Here is a 17864-nt window from a genome sequence, read left to right on the forward strand (position 1 = left end):
ATAAAGGGTGATAACAAATATAAACTAAAAGATGGGTAAATTTTTACATACACTTTCATAGCATTTATAGAGTAAGAAAAATAAAGGAAAGCAAAAAAACTGCAAACAAAACAATTGAGAAGTGAAAGTCAAGGGCTTTGACTCAGAGGAGCAGAATGCTGGGGTGAGAATCCTCATGACATATGAAAAGAAGGAACCCAGGACACACAGTAGACAATTGGCAATTGAGAAAAGGAGAAACATCTCCATGGAAACAGTACAGAATGATTCTTTCCTTGACCTTAGGAGAAAGAAATCTACCATAATTTTGTCAGACTAAGTAAGGATTTCTGTGGCCATATAAAAATGTGTAATGCAATATAAGAAAGTACTTTCCTCACATGTAGTTAAAGATGGATGATTGTTCTGATAAAAAATATGCTTACAGCTAAACTTGCTGCCACAGTTTAGGAAAATAAATGCCAGGCACTAGACTAAACCAAGGTGCTCATGCCATCCCTGGCAAATAGTAAGCTCACAGTCATCTCAAATAACTGCAAGATTAATAGATGTTTCAGGAAACAATAGATAAGTAAATTAGAGAAATGGATAAATGTGTAAAGCTTCTATGCTAGTTTATGAGTGTTTTAGCTTAGAGAGTGTTAGGTCAGGTCAGTCTGTCAGGTACTTCTCACAATTGAAACTGTATAAAATTAAAATACTCAGATTTCAGATTTCAGAAAAAAATGTGTACAGTGAGATGTGATGTACAGAATAAAATCCTTCCATTTGAAGGAATATATAATGGGAATACCTAGAAAATGGTCTGGAAAGAATCTTAATAAATTGATGCTACTCTTTTATTTGACTACTCCAGGTCAGGGAGCATGGATCATCTGTGAGCATGTCTACAAGGAGGACAAAGCGGGTAGTACTATGGGGTCTCTTGCATGTACCATGCACACTATAGTCTATGTGAATGCTGCTCCCCGGAATCATGTAGTGTACAATCTTCCCTTTGGCAATGGGATGGGTAATGGTTATGATGTGAAGCAAACTTTTTCTTTATACCCTATACATTTTTTTTTTGTTTTTGCAGCAAGATTTTTTTCAGATACCAATTTTATAATGAGTGAGAATGATAACGAGGGACAGAACTACCAGGTAAATATTCCCCCACGTCTTGTTGTTGTATAACATAGACATCCTGAATTAGTTTTAAAAAGAATGATGATTTTTTTTTTCTTCTCACAATGCTATTATTTTAAGGAGGAAGGCATGTGAAGACTTTGTATATAGAGTCAATAAGAAGATTTTAAACACGTGCATGTAAACTTGGCCGACAAGAGGCACTTGGATCTAGAGAGACTGGCAACATATAGCAGAACTTCAGCATAGCCTAGAGCTCTGTTACAGAAATTATGAGCTGGGAGAAGAGACAATGGTGAGCTGATGGAAGTCAGAGCAGCCAGGTTAATTAATTAGGACTCTCAATAAACACTAGAACAAAAATAAAGAAGACAGTAATCCGCTAGAACAAAATGGAAACCAAGGAGTCACTACCCACCCATAGACCCAATAACAATAGATGACAATTTTTGATAAGAAAATTAGAAGCAGGAGAGAAATTAGCATTTTATGAAAGAGGTTGTAGTCAGTTGGACAGATGGATGTTTAATACTTGAATCCTCTATTTACACATGCTAGTGTATCTTCCTCTCTGGATCTGTTTCCATATAAGGGATATAATAATTATTATTTCATACAGACATTTTGTTGTGTTGTTGATACATTTGTGTGAGGTACATGAATAATGTATCTAAGTGTCTTGTACAAATCCTGGCACATAAATGTTCATTAAATGATGGGTCTCTACCAACATCCAATATGAAAAAATATTTCCATTTCCCAGGGGCTTCAGAAGATGAGTATGAACTCATCTTAGAGTTGAAGAATGTATCAGACAGGAACAGGTCAGAAAAAGATCCCAATCTATGTATGTCATGTATTTAGGGACTCAGAAGGAGACTTATCTCATGATTAGATGGTGTGCATGGGCAAAGAAAGGAAAAAAAATGCTGCTATTTTCATAAAGGCTGAAAATGCAATAATTATGGGAAAGTTGCTAACAATGATTTTAGATGCTTGTCAAACCTAAACAGGAGGTCACCAGAAAAATGCTCTAAATCTCTTCACTGTGACATCCACATCTTACACTCATGCCCTTATTTAGCATAATTTCACCTGGAGCTCTATTGTCCTGAGATCCTAGAAAATGTAGTGTCTAGGTTTCTCCCTTGTAATTTAAACAATACTTCAGAAGTTAGAAGACATGAGTGGATAACAGGAAACCTGTTACAGGATACAACTTGATTAATATAGATATAATAAATAATGGTGCTTCCTAACCACAGTTAGGATAATAAATAATACATGTTCCAGTTAAATAATAAATGTTGTAGTCTTTATTACTTGAATTTCTTACAAGACATTTAAAGTTCATGAAGACAGATAGTAGATCTGTGTATTTTAATCATTTTTTAAGCATCCAGAACTTCAGTTAATCAAATCAGTAAATATTTCTTTTCTTAAAATGAAACAATCTGCACATATACAACTCCACTCTGAAGAAAGGCAATTATTTTCATAATTATAGGAATTTCTGCATAATTATGTAAATAATTGCCTTTCTTGAGAGTGGAATTGTATATGTGCAGATTGTTTCATTAAAAAAATGTATTTATTATAATTAAAAAAGGCTTTATATATACATAAAGCCTTTAAGGCCTTTTGTTTTTTTTAAAAAAGAAGACTGTCCCTCCAAAAGTGGCACGTAGTTCTACCTGTTGTATAATCAACACTTTACTAATTTATGGATTTAATCCACTGCTTATCCCCAAGATTTCCGAGATCCCAAGTCCAATATAGTCAAGGCTCAAGATCAAAGTACTTACGCTTTACCCTCACTACACCCCTTGCCTTTTATACTGCACCAAATACCACCTCCCAGAAGTTGCTGTAAAAAGAATAATTTACCTACATACATGACCATTAGGATTCTGCCTTGAAGCAGACATGCAGGAAAATATAATATTCCATCCCATGGCAACTTTTCTTTACTTGTTTTGTTGTAATATTTTTGTGTACCCTAAGAAATAGTCATTTTAATAGATTTTCAATTATAGACTAATATTTATCAGGGATTCATTATAAAATATGCTATGAATTTCCTTGATGTTGGGAGCAGATAGAGAGGAATATATGGTTCCATCTCTTGAACCTCCTCTGTGCTCTCTTATCTCAAGTTTATTTCATCAGTCAATTAATCTGCTTCTGTTACTGTGTCTCTGGCTCCCCCTGCCTTTCCCTGTCTCTCAAGCACTGTGGTTTATTATTCCTTATCACTCTAATAATAAATGCCAGAAGCTATGTTTCCTCACTAAGACATATCCTGGGAAGTCAATAAATACACGTTAAGAAGACAAGATTTCTCAACTTTGTTAAGATACAGATTTCTATCATTAACAATTCTGATTTAGCAAACATTTATTCACCCCCAATCTTTCTAACTTAGTTTATCTCCCAGAATTTTGCGGCCACAATTTGGTGTGTGAATAACTTATTGAACTTGCAACAGGTGGTGAATCATTAATGGCAATGTCAAGGCTTAAATCTTGCTCCACTGGTTCACCCATGGCTGCTCTCACATACCAAGCTAGAGTTCAATTAGAAAGTTGGAGATCAGTAACTCCAGAACACTGGCCAGAGGGTCAGAAGAGCTGACTCGTGGACATTCTCATTGCGGGTAAAGGATTCATTGGGTTTATTAGCAGTTTATGTCATTCTTTTCTAAAAATTAGAAGTACCAGTAGTCTCATGATTTAGGTAAATTTGCTGTTGATTGGGGTAGAATAGTAGAAGTATATTAATAAAAATGCCTTTTAAAAATTACAAAGTATTCTTTGCACTGCTGAAGTGATTCATGAATGAGAAATTTTGAATTACTACACATTAATATTTTTTCTAGCTCTCATACCTGTGTAAGTCTCAGAAAGGACAGAAGTGAACAGAGATGAGAATGCAACCCTCTCTTAGCAAATGATCAGGCGATTGTGTATTGTTCAATGATTAATTGATATTTTAAAATGTTTCCAGGAAGACTAAAACACTTTTTGAGAATTATGTTCTTAATTTTATACTCACAGCTACTAAAGCAAGAGGGTTTCTTAGTAACAAATTATTTTTACAGTAATCAAAGAAAGGTTAAAATAAGAGAGTAAGATACCTAAGGCCACATGGAGAGTAAATGCCATAGCTGGAAATTTGGCAATGGTTTTGTGATTCTCATCATTTTCTGTTTTGTTTTATTTTGTCTTCTAATACAGACTTCTCTGAATTATTTTATTTCTGACAGAGAGTAATATTAGACTAGGCCTTTATTTTTACAAAGCGTATGATTTGTATTGTTTAATAAATAGGTAGATAAATAAGTATGGACCAAAATAATGAGCAGTTATCATAAATGTTTACATATATAGAAAATTGTTTTTTAATGGATAACCTATATAAAATAATTTTTTAATAAACATGTATGGTTCAAGAAGGACATTTTAAATTAAATGTTCAATGCCATTTTAAGAATTTGATTCTCTAAAGAATGTCCACAAAATTTGATACCACATTAAAAAAAAATGCCAAATAAATATATCTAGAATCCTCTAGAATTTATTTATTGACGAAATCATAAGGAAAAGAATTTTCATATGTAATTTTTAAATGATAAGTGACTTGTCATTTCATTTACTTGGGAAATAGCATAATAAAGTTTTTAGGAGGTTTTCCTCTAGCTGGTAATTTTTGACAATTAAAAAACTTGACCCAGTTTTGAAAAATATTTGAAAATACTTGACCCTGCCCAAAAGCCACCTGCAAATAGCTTATTTGCATGAACATTAAACACAAGGGCTTTCATGTTCCTTTTACTTATTACTGGGATAACAAACCTCCATTCATTAAGCACAGCATCGTTTTTGTTGTGAATGAAAAATCAGCCAACTTTCTGCCACATCTGGCTGCTAATCTATAAGTTTTGAATAAACAGTAGACAGTCAATTGCCGGCATCCATTCTCTTAAACCACATGAAGTTTTTTTTTTTCTCCCCAGTCAAAATGCCATTTAATACAATTTCATTTCATTTTTCAGAACAACCAAGGCTTTAAAAATAGATCGGGTTTTATGGTGCAGGGTGCAAAGCATGTATTAGATAATCTAAGGATAAATCTGTTCATATACTAAGTCTCTCAGTGTCCAATTGCCGATAAAAGTTCAAATAGTCACTGCAGACAGGATAATTTCACTGTATCAAAAACTGGCATTTGCATTGAAAAGTCATTTCTACTCATTTTTGAGAAACCAGTAGCAAAGTTATTAATTTTATAAAAACCTAGACTCAATCTCAGTGAAGATCTTAATGGGTTTTTTGCTGGGCAAAAAGATGAGGGCAGTTTAACTGCGATAGCTACAAAACATGGCATATAAAACATTTATTTAATTGAAAAATAACAGCTACAGCATCCATAAAATTCAAAGCCCAGCATTAGCATTTTTTCCCACTGGTTCTAAATGAACCCCATCCTCCTTACTTTAAACCTTCAGAACAGTTGCCTATAGATAGAGTTATTAGTCAGACATTTGGGAATATCTTTCAGTGTAGCCATATGAAAATCTACCAGAGCACACATAAGAAAAGTCGTTCGGTAATGGAACAGACAGCTATGCCTCATTAAAATGCTTCACCAGATAAACTATAACAAGACTATTTGTTCTCATAATTTGTTACTTTTATTAATGAAGCCTCCCAATATGATGCCCCTCCCTTGTTTATTAGCAGCAATATCAAATTTTGTCCTCAGATTTATGCATATTTGGGTTCATTTCTTAACTTTCTTAAACTTCAAGTTTATTTAGCCCCCTGTTTCAACTAACATTTTGCTGAATCCTTATACATATTTATGCTATGTATTATTCCCAGCTTTAAAATTCCCGTTTTTAAATTGATATTAACTCCTCTTCTAAACCATTTTTTCTATATGTAATTTACATGTATATATATGAAATGGATACAGAATTTCCTTTTGTCTCAAATTTTTGTTTATTCCCTATTAAATGATGAGTATCCCTAAATTATAGAAGAACAGTTAAGTCTTTGCAGGTTTTAATAAAAAGTAGCCAGACCAGTTCTGTAACTAAAACCTTCACTGACCTCAATTACCTGTACTCTTATGTAAAGAGAGGACTAGACATTCTAAGAATTATCATATAGAAAGTGAATTAGTTACCTAAGTGAGAGTGCTTTTAATTATTTTCTCTTTTGTAAGGAGAACTAAACTTGCTTTAGTTCTCCTTCCAAACAGGAAGAGAGCTCAAAAAGACTGGGAGCAATTTTTAAGAAGGAAAGAATGGGATATCCCTCTCCTTCTGGCACTCAGCATTGCACCCATCCTGCAATGGAACCATACATGATGAGACAGTTTTGGGAAAGTTTGATAGGTGTCCTCAAGAGTTTCAAGATGAAGCTAAACATGGCCAGTTGTTGCCTGCTTCTTGCTTTCAAAATTCTGAAGGCTACATGCTCATTGAGGCAGCTTTTGATGGCAAGATGGAGAAAGAGAAAAGATGCCAGATTCTTCTTCCCACTTTAGATGAGTGAATATGCTAAATATAGGCCAAGTCCGTGCCACAGAAGATGTAAGAGGCTTCAGATACCCACTGGCAAGTGTTTGCAAGAAGTCAGCAGGAGAACAAATTACACAGGTTAACAAATAGGTAGCACAGAGTTACAAAGAATTTACAGATTCACTCCCCGACAGAAGCAGCATTTGGGTGCCTGCCTCTCAATAGAAAAAGATCAGATTATTAAAAAAAAAAAAAGCTTCTCTCTTTTCTTTTAATTCTTCCTGCTACAATTCTTGTTTTCCCCGTTACAATCCGAAGGGACCCATAAACAGCACTTCAAATGTGTCATGTCACCCTCTCCTGGCTGTAAGGTTTCCACTGAAAAGTCTGCTGCCAGATATACTGAAGCTCCATTGTATGTTATGTGTTTGTTTGTTCTCTTGGTGCTTTTGGGATACTCTCTTTTTCCTTGACCTTTGGGAGTTTGATTATCAAAAGCCTCAATGCCTATTGGCTCTGAGATGATTGCTTGTTTTCTGGGACGCACTTATAAGGAAGCAAAGAAGGGAGGTCTGGGCATACCGACATGCTTACCTGCCATGCAGATGCAACTAAGGAAAAGCTCCCAGATTTACCAAGTAAAAGTACAAGTTGCCCAGTTGAATTTAAATTTCATATAAATCATGAATAATGTTTAGTATATGTAATTCCTAAATATTTCGTGGGATATACTCATAGTAAACAATGTAAATTCAGCTGGGCATGGTGTGCTTTATTTGACAACTTTGAACTGAGTCTTCAGCCAATCCTACTGGGCCTCTTTCAGAGTTGTCCCAAATTGATGCAAAGCAGTTGCATGTTTGTATAACTACATTAGCCAGCCATGGGTCAATGGCTGCTCTCTGAAAGGAGGCACCACTTTGGGCGAGTTAGTTCATTTTAGTTTGTCTTAGGACAATATTTAGTGAAAGGTACAGGTGTGAATTGTCAGCTGCTGATGTTCCCCATGAGTGTGGGATCGATGTCTTCCCATGAAGATGGGGTCTGGATGATGAACCACAGTGTCTAGTACAATAATTTCTCTTATGTGAGCTTCAAGAGTGATATTGAGTTAATGTTTCTATATCCTACTTTTTTGTTTTGTTGTTTTGTTATGACTTTGTTCTCTTAACAATTAATTTTCCACCTTAGTGTTTCTTATACTGAGGAATTGTAGCTACTTATACTACAGAGGAATGCTGAGGAATTGTAGCTACACATGACGATTGCAATTTCAAGGAAAGGGAATTTATGCTGAAATATTTGAATAACTTCCCCTCTTAGTTTTTACTATGTCAAAAAAATTCATATAAATGTATCCCTTTACACAATTGGTCTACTGAAATTTTTGGTGAAACTAAAACACAGTATTGCCTTTTTTACTGTAAAAGAGAAAAAATTAAATAGATTTATGTACAGAGACACCTATTACAAAAAATATTTTTAAATGACCCTACACTGTATTTGCATAAAAGACTTAATTTGTCATTTCCTTAGAAATGAGAGGTTAGGGGCCAGGCTCGGTGGCTCATGCCTGTAATCCCAGCACTTTGGGAGGCTGAGGCGGGCGGAGTTCGAGACTAGCCTGACCAACATGGAGAAACCCCGTCTCTACTAAAAATACAAAATTAGCTGGACGTGGTGGCACATACCCGTAATCCCAGCTACTCGGGAGGCTGAGGCAGGAGAATCACTTGAACCCGGGAGGCAGAGGTTGTGATGAGCCGAGATCATGCCATTGCACTCCAGCCTAGGCAACAAGAGTGCAACTCTGTCTCAAAAAAAAAGAAAAAAGAAAAGAAAAGAAAAGAAAGGATAAGTCTGAAGAAATAAGGAGAAATAAGATAACTTGCTTGAGAAAGAAACATACACAAACTTGATAGCTATGGAGTATACTAGATAATCCATAATACGAACACTCAGGTTTGAGGAGATTCTATATAGCAGAAAAGGCCTATCTTCACAAAACTGCTAATTTGATAGGAAGTCTAACCTTATCTTTATATGGTTATTAATGTTAAAGCATGGAACTTTTAAAGGACCTTTTATTTTGTCAAACATTTACTTAAGCAAAGCACACTGCTCAGTGCCTGGCACTTTAAAATACTCAACAAATATTGCTTTTATTGTTCTTTTTTTTTATACTCATGGGAAAACTGCTATTTTAAATAATCTGTAATTGTTTACTATGTATTTGCAAGTTAAAGTATCTAAATGTAGATAGATTTTGGTAATTGAAGATAAAATAATAGCCCTAAAACAGGAAAAGTGAATGTAAAGTTGATCTCTTCCAGGGCTAGAGAGGTATGATAGAAGACAGTAGGGGCTGCGTAAAAGTGGAGACTGTGTATTCAACATAAAGATATTCAAATTCACTTTGAAAAAATAATCGAATTTTCAGGTAGCTGGACTTGAGTTGAGACAAGCAGTGGATCTGAAAGGCCATGAGAGACGTGTGGAAATGTTATAGTGTAAAACAGGGGTCCCAACCCCTGGGCCACAAACTGGTACCGGGCCTGTTAGGAACTGGGCCACACAGCAGAATGGGAGAGGTGGATGAGTGAGCATTACTCCTGAGCTCAGCCTCCTATCAGATCATTGGCAGCATTTGATTCTCACAGAAGCACCAGCTCTACTGTGAACTGCGCATGCAAGTGATCTAGTTTGATCCTTGTGAGAATCTAGTGCTTGATGATCTGAGTAGTGGAGCAGTTTTATCCCGAAACCTTCCCCCCAACCCTGTCCATGGAAATATTGTCTTCCACGAAACGAATCCCTGGTACCAAAGAGGTTGGGGACCACTGGAGTAAACAAAATTAAGGCAGTATTAAATACGAAGATGTCTTAGATGTTATTTTCTTGCAAGAGACAGAATCTTATTTAAATTTCCTTAGTAAAACAGAGGTTTAACTAAAAGGATACAAAAATATCTTGGGCTCAGAGTAAATAAGAAATCATTAGATAGCTGTTTGTTTTATATCTAGTTCCAAGTCTGCATGGTTTCTAGTTCCCATTCATCTGTTTATCATCTTCTCCAATACAGATTAATTTGGAAGGCTGTTAGTATTTGCTCCCTTTAACTTAAGTTTATCCATGGCTTTGGACTGCTGCGACAATTCTGGCCCAATGCTATTAGACTTCTCAGTTGAGATGCCTATAATTAACATACTAAAATACCTCATTTTCTAAATCAAAATTTTGAGAAAAAGCTTCATGTATTGTATGCTTCTCCTTGAGTTACACATCCATTCCTACTTTTCTGAACTGTAACCAGAAAGAACGGTCATGGGGCACAAATAGGATTGGGTTTAAACTCTCTGCTTTATCACAATGCCAGACTGATATTTAGAGCCTCTACATGTGGAAAAGCTTATGACACTCCTTCATTGTACAGTTCAAAACAAAATTATTTTGAATCTATAAAAAAAATACATACTGAATCTAAACAGCCAATTCTAGTTTACAAAGTTCTGGATAAGACCATTGTCTTAGTCCATTTTCTGTTGCTTATAGCAGTATACCTAAAACTGAGTAATTTACAAAGAACTGAATTTATTTTCTACAGCTAAGAAGGCTTGGAAATCCAAGGTCGATGGGGCATATCTTTTGAGAGCCTTCTTGCTTGTGGGGACTCTCAGAAGAGTCCCAAGGTAGCACAGGGTATCATATGGCAAGAGGGCTGAGTATGCTAACATGCTAGCTCAGGTCTATCTTCCCCTTCTTATAAATCTAATGGTTTCCCTCCCAAGATAACCTATTAATCCACTGACTTATCAATGGATTAATCCACTCATGAGGGAAGAACTTTCATGATCCAATCCCCTCTTTAAAAAGCTCGTTCTCTATATTGTCATATTTTGGATTAAGTTTCAACATGAGTTTTGGAGGGAACATTCAAACCATAGCAACCATGAAAGCTGAACCTTTCCAATTCTGTGCATGGATGTTTATATCTGGTATCCTAATTGCTGAAGCACAGTTTCAACCTGCCTGTTGAAAAAGTCCATTTGCAACCCAGCACAAGTCGATCACTTGCTCGAGCTAAATCTCATTTTGTCTCTCAAACGTTTTTCCCAAATTCATGTCATCCCTCTGCTAACAAAGAGAACAAAGGTTTGTAGATGTTTCCTCTCCCAAAGATAGGGTGAATAACTGCTTTAGGCAGAGAAGATCAAAGTGTGACCTTATTGAGCACTTTTATTGGCTTCAGACTAGGGTTTCAACAAGTTCAGACTCCTGTGGCTGCCTCACCATGTCTAAAGAAATTATGAATGATCCATCTCCTTAGTGTGATTCCCCACCCACCCACTCCAATCCAACCCTTCTCTCTACCTCTTTTCAAATATTTCTCTAAGACTTTTCTTAGACCAATATGACTTCCCTCTCACCTAACACCCTTTCTTTAGCAAGTTATATTTATGTCAGATTCTTAATCCATTCAAAGGGAATGATGATAAAGAATAAAAGAATAATAGTAAGTATTAAACTGTGCCATCTTGCCCTTCTCTCTCCCTGAGAATTTTTGCTAATTTAGTAGCCAGGGGAAATGATTGCAATATCTCCTAGTGATCTGGTGGCAGGGGGAGCATCTGGTTTGGGTGAGTCAGTCCCTGACTTTGTAATATGACCTGGTGAATAACTCAATATCAATAAATTTCAACCTGCTGCAGGTTGCTGAAGTTTTATAGAAACTTAGAAGAGCTATAAGCCACCATAAATTTGAGGAGCAACCTTAGGCTCAGAGAAAAAACTGGCTGTTATCTAGCTGTGAAACAAAACACATAATACTTATATAGTGAAACAGGACTTCAAAAGAGAACTTAGGCAAATGAGATTTATGTTCAACATTTTTGTGGTTAATTATTCCATGTTGCTGCTTAATAAATTTTCTAATTTTTAAGAAATACAATTCAAAAATGAAAGTTTTGATTATATTATAGGGTATTAGCACATGTTCAGAATTTTCAGAATTGGAGTTCTCTGCTGCCCTAACTGACAATGACAAAATCAAGGGTAGAAACTTAAGCTTATGCTTATTTCATAATGCTGGTCAAATTCAATTAAAATTAGTAATGTAATCTTTGAGTGGTTACTTTATATTTGTGTTCTCAAGCAGGGACAATTTTACTTTTCAGGGGATAGTTGTCAATGTCTAGAAGCCTTTGTGATTGTCAAAACTTGGAGAGGAGGAGGTACACTACTGGCCAGAGACACTGCTAAGCATCCTATAGCCCCCTCTGCATTAAATAATTGTCTGACCCAAAATGTCATAGTGCCAATGTTGAGAAGCTGTGCTCTACATTCTTCTTATTCCTTTATTAAATCATTATTATGTGTGAAGTGACTGTTACATAACTAGTAGTAAACAATATTTTATTGACCACTTATCACGTGCCATGCTCTATTCTAAGAACTACATACATTCATTCTATTTATCCTCACTATACTACAAAATAGGGTAGGCTATAATTCCATTTTACAGATGAGGAAATTGAAGCACAGAAGAGGTAACATCCACAATCACATAGCCTGCAGAAGATAGATCTGGATTTATAGTCAGGTAATTTGGTTTTAGAAGCCCATCCACTGTGGTAAAGGAAATCAAGTGCTGCTTATTATTTCCCTTGACTTTCTCCTATGCTCTTGCAACTCTAAGAAAAGGACCTTGGCAAATCTCAATCTACAGAATAATTCATAATTCTGGGAGCTCCACAGAAAATAAAAGTTATTTATTTATTTATTTATTTATTTATTTATTTATTTATAGCTGTTGCAGTGTTCTGCCACAGGTATAGTCAACTTTGTCTGCAAAGTTAAAATTTTTAAAATGAAAGAATTAACAATTCCTCCCCTAATTATATATATATATAAATAAATGTAGGCCTTAACATTAACACAAATCATTGAAGTTTCATGGGTCAAAAATTTAGGCAGATATGTAGTTTGTAGGCATCTTATACTAATTAGTTAACATACTACTTCTTTTATTTTTATTATAATATAAACTATATTCATTTTATAATATACATAAATAAAAATCAAATGCTAAATATAATAAAGTTTATTTTATATAGTCCAGCTCGCTAATGTACATTAATGCTTCAATGATAATATTAAACTTTCTTTTATTTTATTACATTTAGATGCAAACTCCAGCCAGGGTTCACATATTGATTTCACGTTCTAGTAAAAACTACAAATAAAAAACTATAAAGTCAGAGATTATTTCTTAATATATTGCATATACTTTCATCCAATGTAAGTCATTTCATGACACGTTTAGCTTTTTTTGTCATAGTGGTCTCATGTTTTAATGGAAAATAGTATGCAACAATTTTGCTCTGTTTTAGATGTGATATTGAAGTTTAAAACTTCACTAATAATTGCTGCAAATATAACACAACAAGAGAAAGCACTATAATCTATTGAGGCAAAACATAATATTAAGTAACTGAAAATGGCAGAAAACTATAGGGTATGATAACAATGCAACATGAAAAGCAAAGAGCTTTATTTGTGGTATTCCAGGTTGAGGGAGACATTCAAATGCCTATTAATTCCTATCTCTACCAATGATCACATTTATATGGTTCTGTACTGGCATGTTCCCTGAAGTCTACTCGTGCCCCATTAGTGGTAAAAGAATTAAATATTTAAAAATATTTACGCATATTATATTTATTAGAAAAAAATACTGACTTCCATTTATGTTGAGAATGTCAGCAAATCCAATCAACTCTTCTCAGTATTTCCTTTTTTCTTTATTTGTTGCTATAACCAGAGTCCAAGCCAACATCATTTCTTGCTTATAAATGTGCAATTATTTCCTACTATCTCCCTTTGCTTTCATTTCTGCTACTTTATGTTCTATTCTCCCCAGAGTAATCAAAGGGATCTCTTAAGAACTTGTCAAATCATGTCACTCCTCTCCTTAAAGCAACTCATGCCGCGCATTCATTTAGACCATACCCAAACACCCTAGTGTGACCTGCCCCATGAATCATATTCAGACCTCATCATTTGTATCTGTACTCCCAATTCACTTTTCTTGAGTGAAATAATCTTTTTTGTTGTTGTTCCTCAATCATCGTGAGCTCTTTCTTGCCTAAGGACATTTATACTAGCTCTTTCTTTTTCTGGAAACATCTTTTTCCCAAATATTGTGGCTAATTCTGCTGGAGGTTTCAGCTTAAATGACATCTCCTTGGCATTTCTCATGAAGTAAAATACAAGCTCCACAAGACAAGGCTGCAGGGGAAGTTAGGAAGGAACTACTTTTTTGGTTTTGCATTCTTTGAAATAAAGCATTATGGGCAACATATTAACAAAATAAAATATAAAAGGAATACCATAAATCTTCATTTTACATTTTTTCCTACAATTATTTTCTATATACCTACCATCTGTCATTTTCTATCTATTTGCTAAAAATTTCTCAGCATTTCCATGTAAGCAACATGCATATTAACTGGGTTGAATCCTCTGTGTCAGATTCTATTTTATAATCCAGAGTGTTTCACTTGCACCTTTTACTTCCTTAAAGTCCTAAGATAAACAGTTGCAAAGAGTCAGACTCTTTGAAGCTCTAAACATACTTCTGCTCTCTCCGTCCTAATAGCCAAAGGAGGGCTTTTCTGCATTTTCTCTATTCAAGTTCCTTTTGCTTTTCCTAAGCTTTGTAGTAAAAATCTGCACTCATGTTCTGCCATCTGCTTTTAGTATATTTTTAATTCACCCACCAATTGCCATTTTACTGATTATCCCCAGAAGGATAAAGCCATTTTTAGTAAAATTCTGCTTTAAGGGGAATTGATAGTTGTGGAGAAATAACTGCACATTGTTGAAGAGTATTTATTAGAACACAGTTCCATTGTATTTGAGGAGAGAAATGCATTACTGACTGCAATGTCTTGAGTCAAGAATTTAGCAAGTTTTTGGAAAAGACTTTCATAAGGTGGAACAGGAATCCACATTAAGTTCTTGAACACATAAGATTGAGTTGAGCAAATCAATCAGAGTTTGACAAAGTAAAGCGATGAATCTAGTTAAGGTAATGAAATAAATTAATCCCACTTGCCTCATATAAGGGTTTGAAAGCAGAAATAAATGCAAATAAAGGAATTAGAGGTAGAGTTACACGTAGAATTGCTGGCTCTATAATGGAGAAAAGTCAAGAAGAATTTGAGATAAATTTATTTGTTGGACAAAATACTACTTACAAAAGAGTTGGAGTTGGATTTGAGTTGTTAATATATAGGTGTGAATGTGTGTGTGTATATGTATGTATATATGTATATGTACATGTGGATTCTAGAGGTCTAGAACTTAAATTGTTTGGACAAAGGATATGGATTTTTACCAAGTGTTTATTTAATTGCATTCTAACAAAATAATATTCTTATAAATGTATGAGAAAGACCTTCTCTCCTATATTTACTTGGAAGATTACCAATTGTATTGACCTTTCCTAATTTAATAGATAAAATAACTACAATAATAAAATTTTTATTGATGTACTTACAGATTAAACAGTTTTCATATTTTTTATGTTTTTGTAAATTGTCTCTCATAGCTATTGCCACTCCTCACCTTTTTAAATGTTTATTAATTTGTAAAAATTCTCTTAAGGACATCCACCTTTGAAGTAAATGTTGCAAATATTTCCCAATGCATATTATTGTCTTTTAGCTTTGTTTATAATGAATTTTTACATTTTTAACTATAAGACTCACAAATATTTGTTGCATCAAACTTATTTATGATTTCCACGTTGGTCATTTTTCAATAGGCCTTCTCACCCCCAAATTATTATTATTTTAATAATGGTCTTTAAAAATATCAAATAATATATGTATTAGCTATTAAGTACAGTTAGACTTTTTTACTAATATAATAAAAATTTGCAAAATGATAAATAATAAAGTAATGGATGATTGTACAATGTTATGCCAATTTTCCATAATGTTGTTCTAATATTGTAATTTGCTTTCTGTCATACAGAATGTAATTTACTTACGGTACAAATTTTAGGTAAGAGTAGATTCGAGTGAATGAAGGCTGGATGAACAGTGATACTGTACCTAAACACAGGTTCTGTGCATTTTAAGAATCATTGCAGACATTTGAATACTGGCAAATCTTTGTTATATTTAAATAAAATTAATATATCTATAAATTTAGCTTATATTTTTTCTTTTATTTTTATTTATACACATATGTATATAATATGACTACAAACAGTCAAAATAATATAACCAATTCCCACATACACACCATTTAGTACAAAGGATAAACATTATCTGTACCATTCAAGTACTCTGTGCACCCTGTCTTAATTGATTTTACCTTCTTCCCCCTCAAAATATTATCTTGATTTTCTCTAACCTGTTGTCTTAAACAGGTCTTGAAAAAACTGTGGCTGGGCACACTGGTACACCTGCAATTCCAGCTACTCAGAAAGCTAAGCCAGATTGCTTCAGGCCAGTAGTTTGAAGACAAAAAGTGCTGTGAAAAATGTTGGCTAGGCAAAGGGATTTGGGAATACTAGGCAAAATGTTAGACTGCTAAATGGGTGGTTCTGACAGGCTTCATTCATTTTTAACTTTTAAGTTCAGGGGTACAAGTGCAGGTTCATTACATAGGTAAACTTGTATCATGGTGGTTTGTTGTACAGATTATTTCATCACCCCAGTATTAAGCCTAGTAACCACTAGTTATTCTTTTGTATCTTCTCCCTCCTCCAATTCTCCACCCTCCAAAAGGCCCCAGTGTGTGTTGTCCCCCACTCTATGTGTCCGTGTGTTCTCATCATTTAGCTCCCACCTATGAGTGAGAACATGCAGTGTTTGATCTTCTGTTCCTGTGTTAGTTTGCTAAGGATAATGGTCTCTAACTACATCCACATCCCTGCAAAGAACAAGATCTTGTTCTTTTTTTATGTCTGCATAGTATTCCATGGTGTTTATATACCACATTTTCTTTATCCAGCAGACCACTGATGGGCATTTAGGTTGATTCCATGTCTTTGCTTAGAGAAGGAAATAAAAGGGTGTTCCAGAGGGAATACCCAGTGCCAAGCTCTGGTTCAGGAGTGTGGCTGGGATCCTCTAAAACTGCAAGCAGTTATAACTGAGAGTTCTTGCTTAAAGTGTGGTTTATGTTCACCCATCTGGTTATAACTGAGAGTTCTTGCTTAAAGTGTGGTTTATGTTCACCCATCTGGTTATAACTGAGAGTTCTTGCTTAAAGTGTGGTTTATGTTCACCCATGTGGTTATAACTGAGAGTTCTTGCTTAAAGTGTGGTTTATGTTCACCCATCTGGTTATAACTGAGAGTTCTTGCTTAAAGTGTGGTTTATGTTCACCCATCTGGTTATAACTGAGAGTTCTTGCTTAAAGTGTGGTTTATGTTCACCCATCTGGTTATAACTGAGAGTTCTTGCTTAAAGTGTGGTTTATGTTCACCCTTCTGGGACTATACTTTTGAAGTCTATACTTTTGGAAGGATAGATGTTTGATGTTTTTTTTTTCTTTTAAAACTAGTAAGTCATTTTTGTTCAGTTTTTTAAGTGTCTATTTTATATATTCAAAAGTAAGTTGATAATGCTTTCTTGTGCTCATTATGGCTTAAATTTCTACTATGTTTATAAGTGCTGACCCTCTTTTCATCATCATCTTGTGTCTTTTGATCTATCTCCTTCTTTTTCTCTTTACTTGGTAAACAATCTGGCTGGAAATTTGTCTATTTAACTATGGTTTTTAAAGAATCAACTTTATTTTTTATTGTACTGCTTCCTTCTTTCTCTTTGATATATTTTTACTTCATTATAATTTACACTTATTTTGTGTGTTTATGTTTATATTTCTTATATAATTCCAGCTTTTGCTGTATTCAACAGTCTTCCTTTTTATGTGCAATTTTTCACTGTCATTAAGTTCTAAATAAAGTATAACTTCTATTTTTATTTTTCTTTGAGTCATAAATTACATGCAAGCTTCTGTTTAAGTTTGCAAACAACAGCATTATCTGGCTGCCTCTTTTTATTGGGTTCTTTCTTACATTTGGGTCAGAAAACATAGTCAGTCTAAAACAGTTTTCTTGACCTCTAAACATTTTGCTAAATTCACTTATTCAAAATTTTCTGCTAATCAGAATATTATGTAACATAAT

General features: G+C 34.4%; 1 long non-coding RNA gene across 1 annotated transcript; it reads left to right on the forward strand.

Annotated features, from left to right (window-relative positions):
• The first annotated feature begins 250 nt into the window (after nt 1-250).
• Nucleotides 251-2287, forward strand: LOC101927584 (uncharacterized). The gene is made up of 4 exons (XR_945927.2): nt 251-319; nt 857-978; nt 1079-1143; nt 1249-2287. It is a non-coding gene; the product is annotated as an uncharacterized LOC101927584 (long non-coding RNA).
• The last annotated feature ends 15577 nt before the right edge of the window (nt 2288-17864 follow it).

This window comes from Homo sapiens, chromosome 10 (assembly GCF_000001405.40).
Source record: "Homo sapiens chromosome 10, GRCh38.p14 Primary Assembly".
NCBI classification, from domain to species: domain Eukaryota; kingdom Metazoa; phylum Chordata; class Mammalia; order Primates; family Hominidae; genus Homo; species Homo sapiens.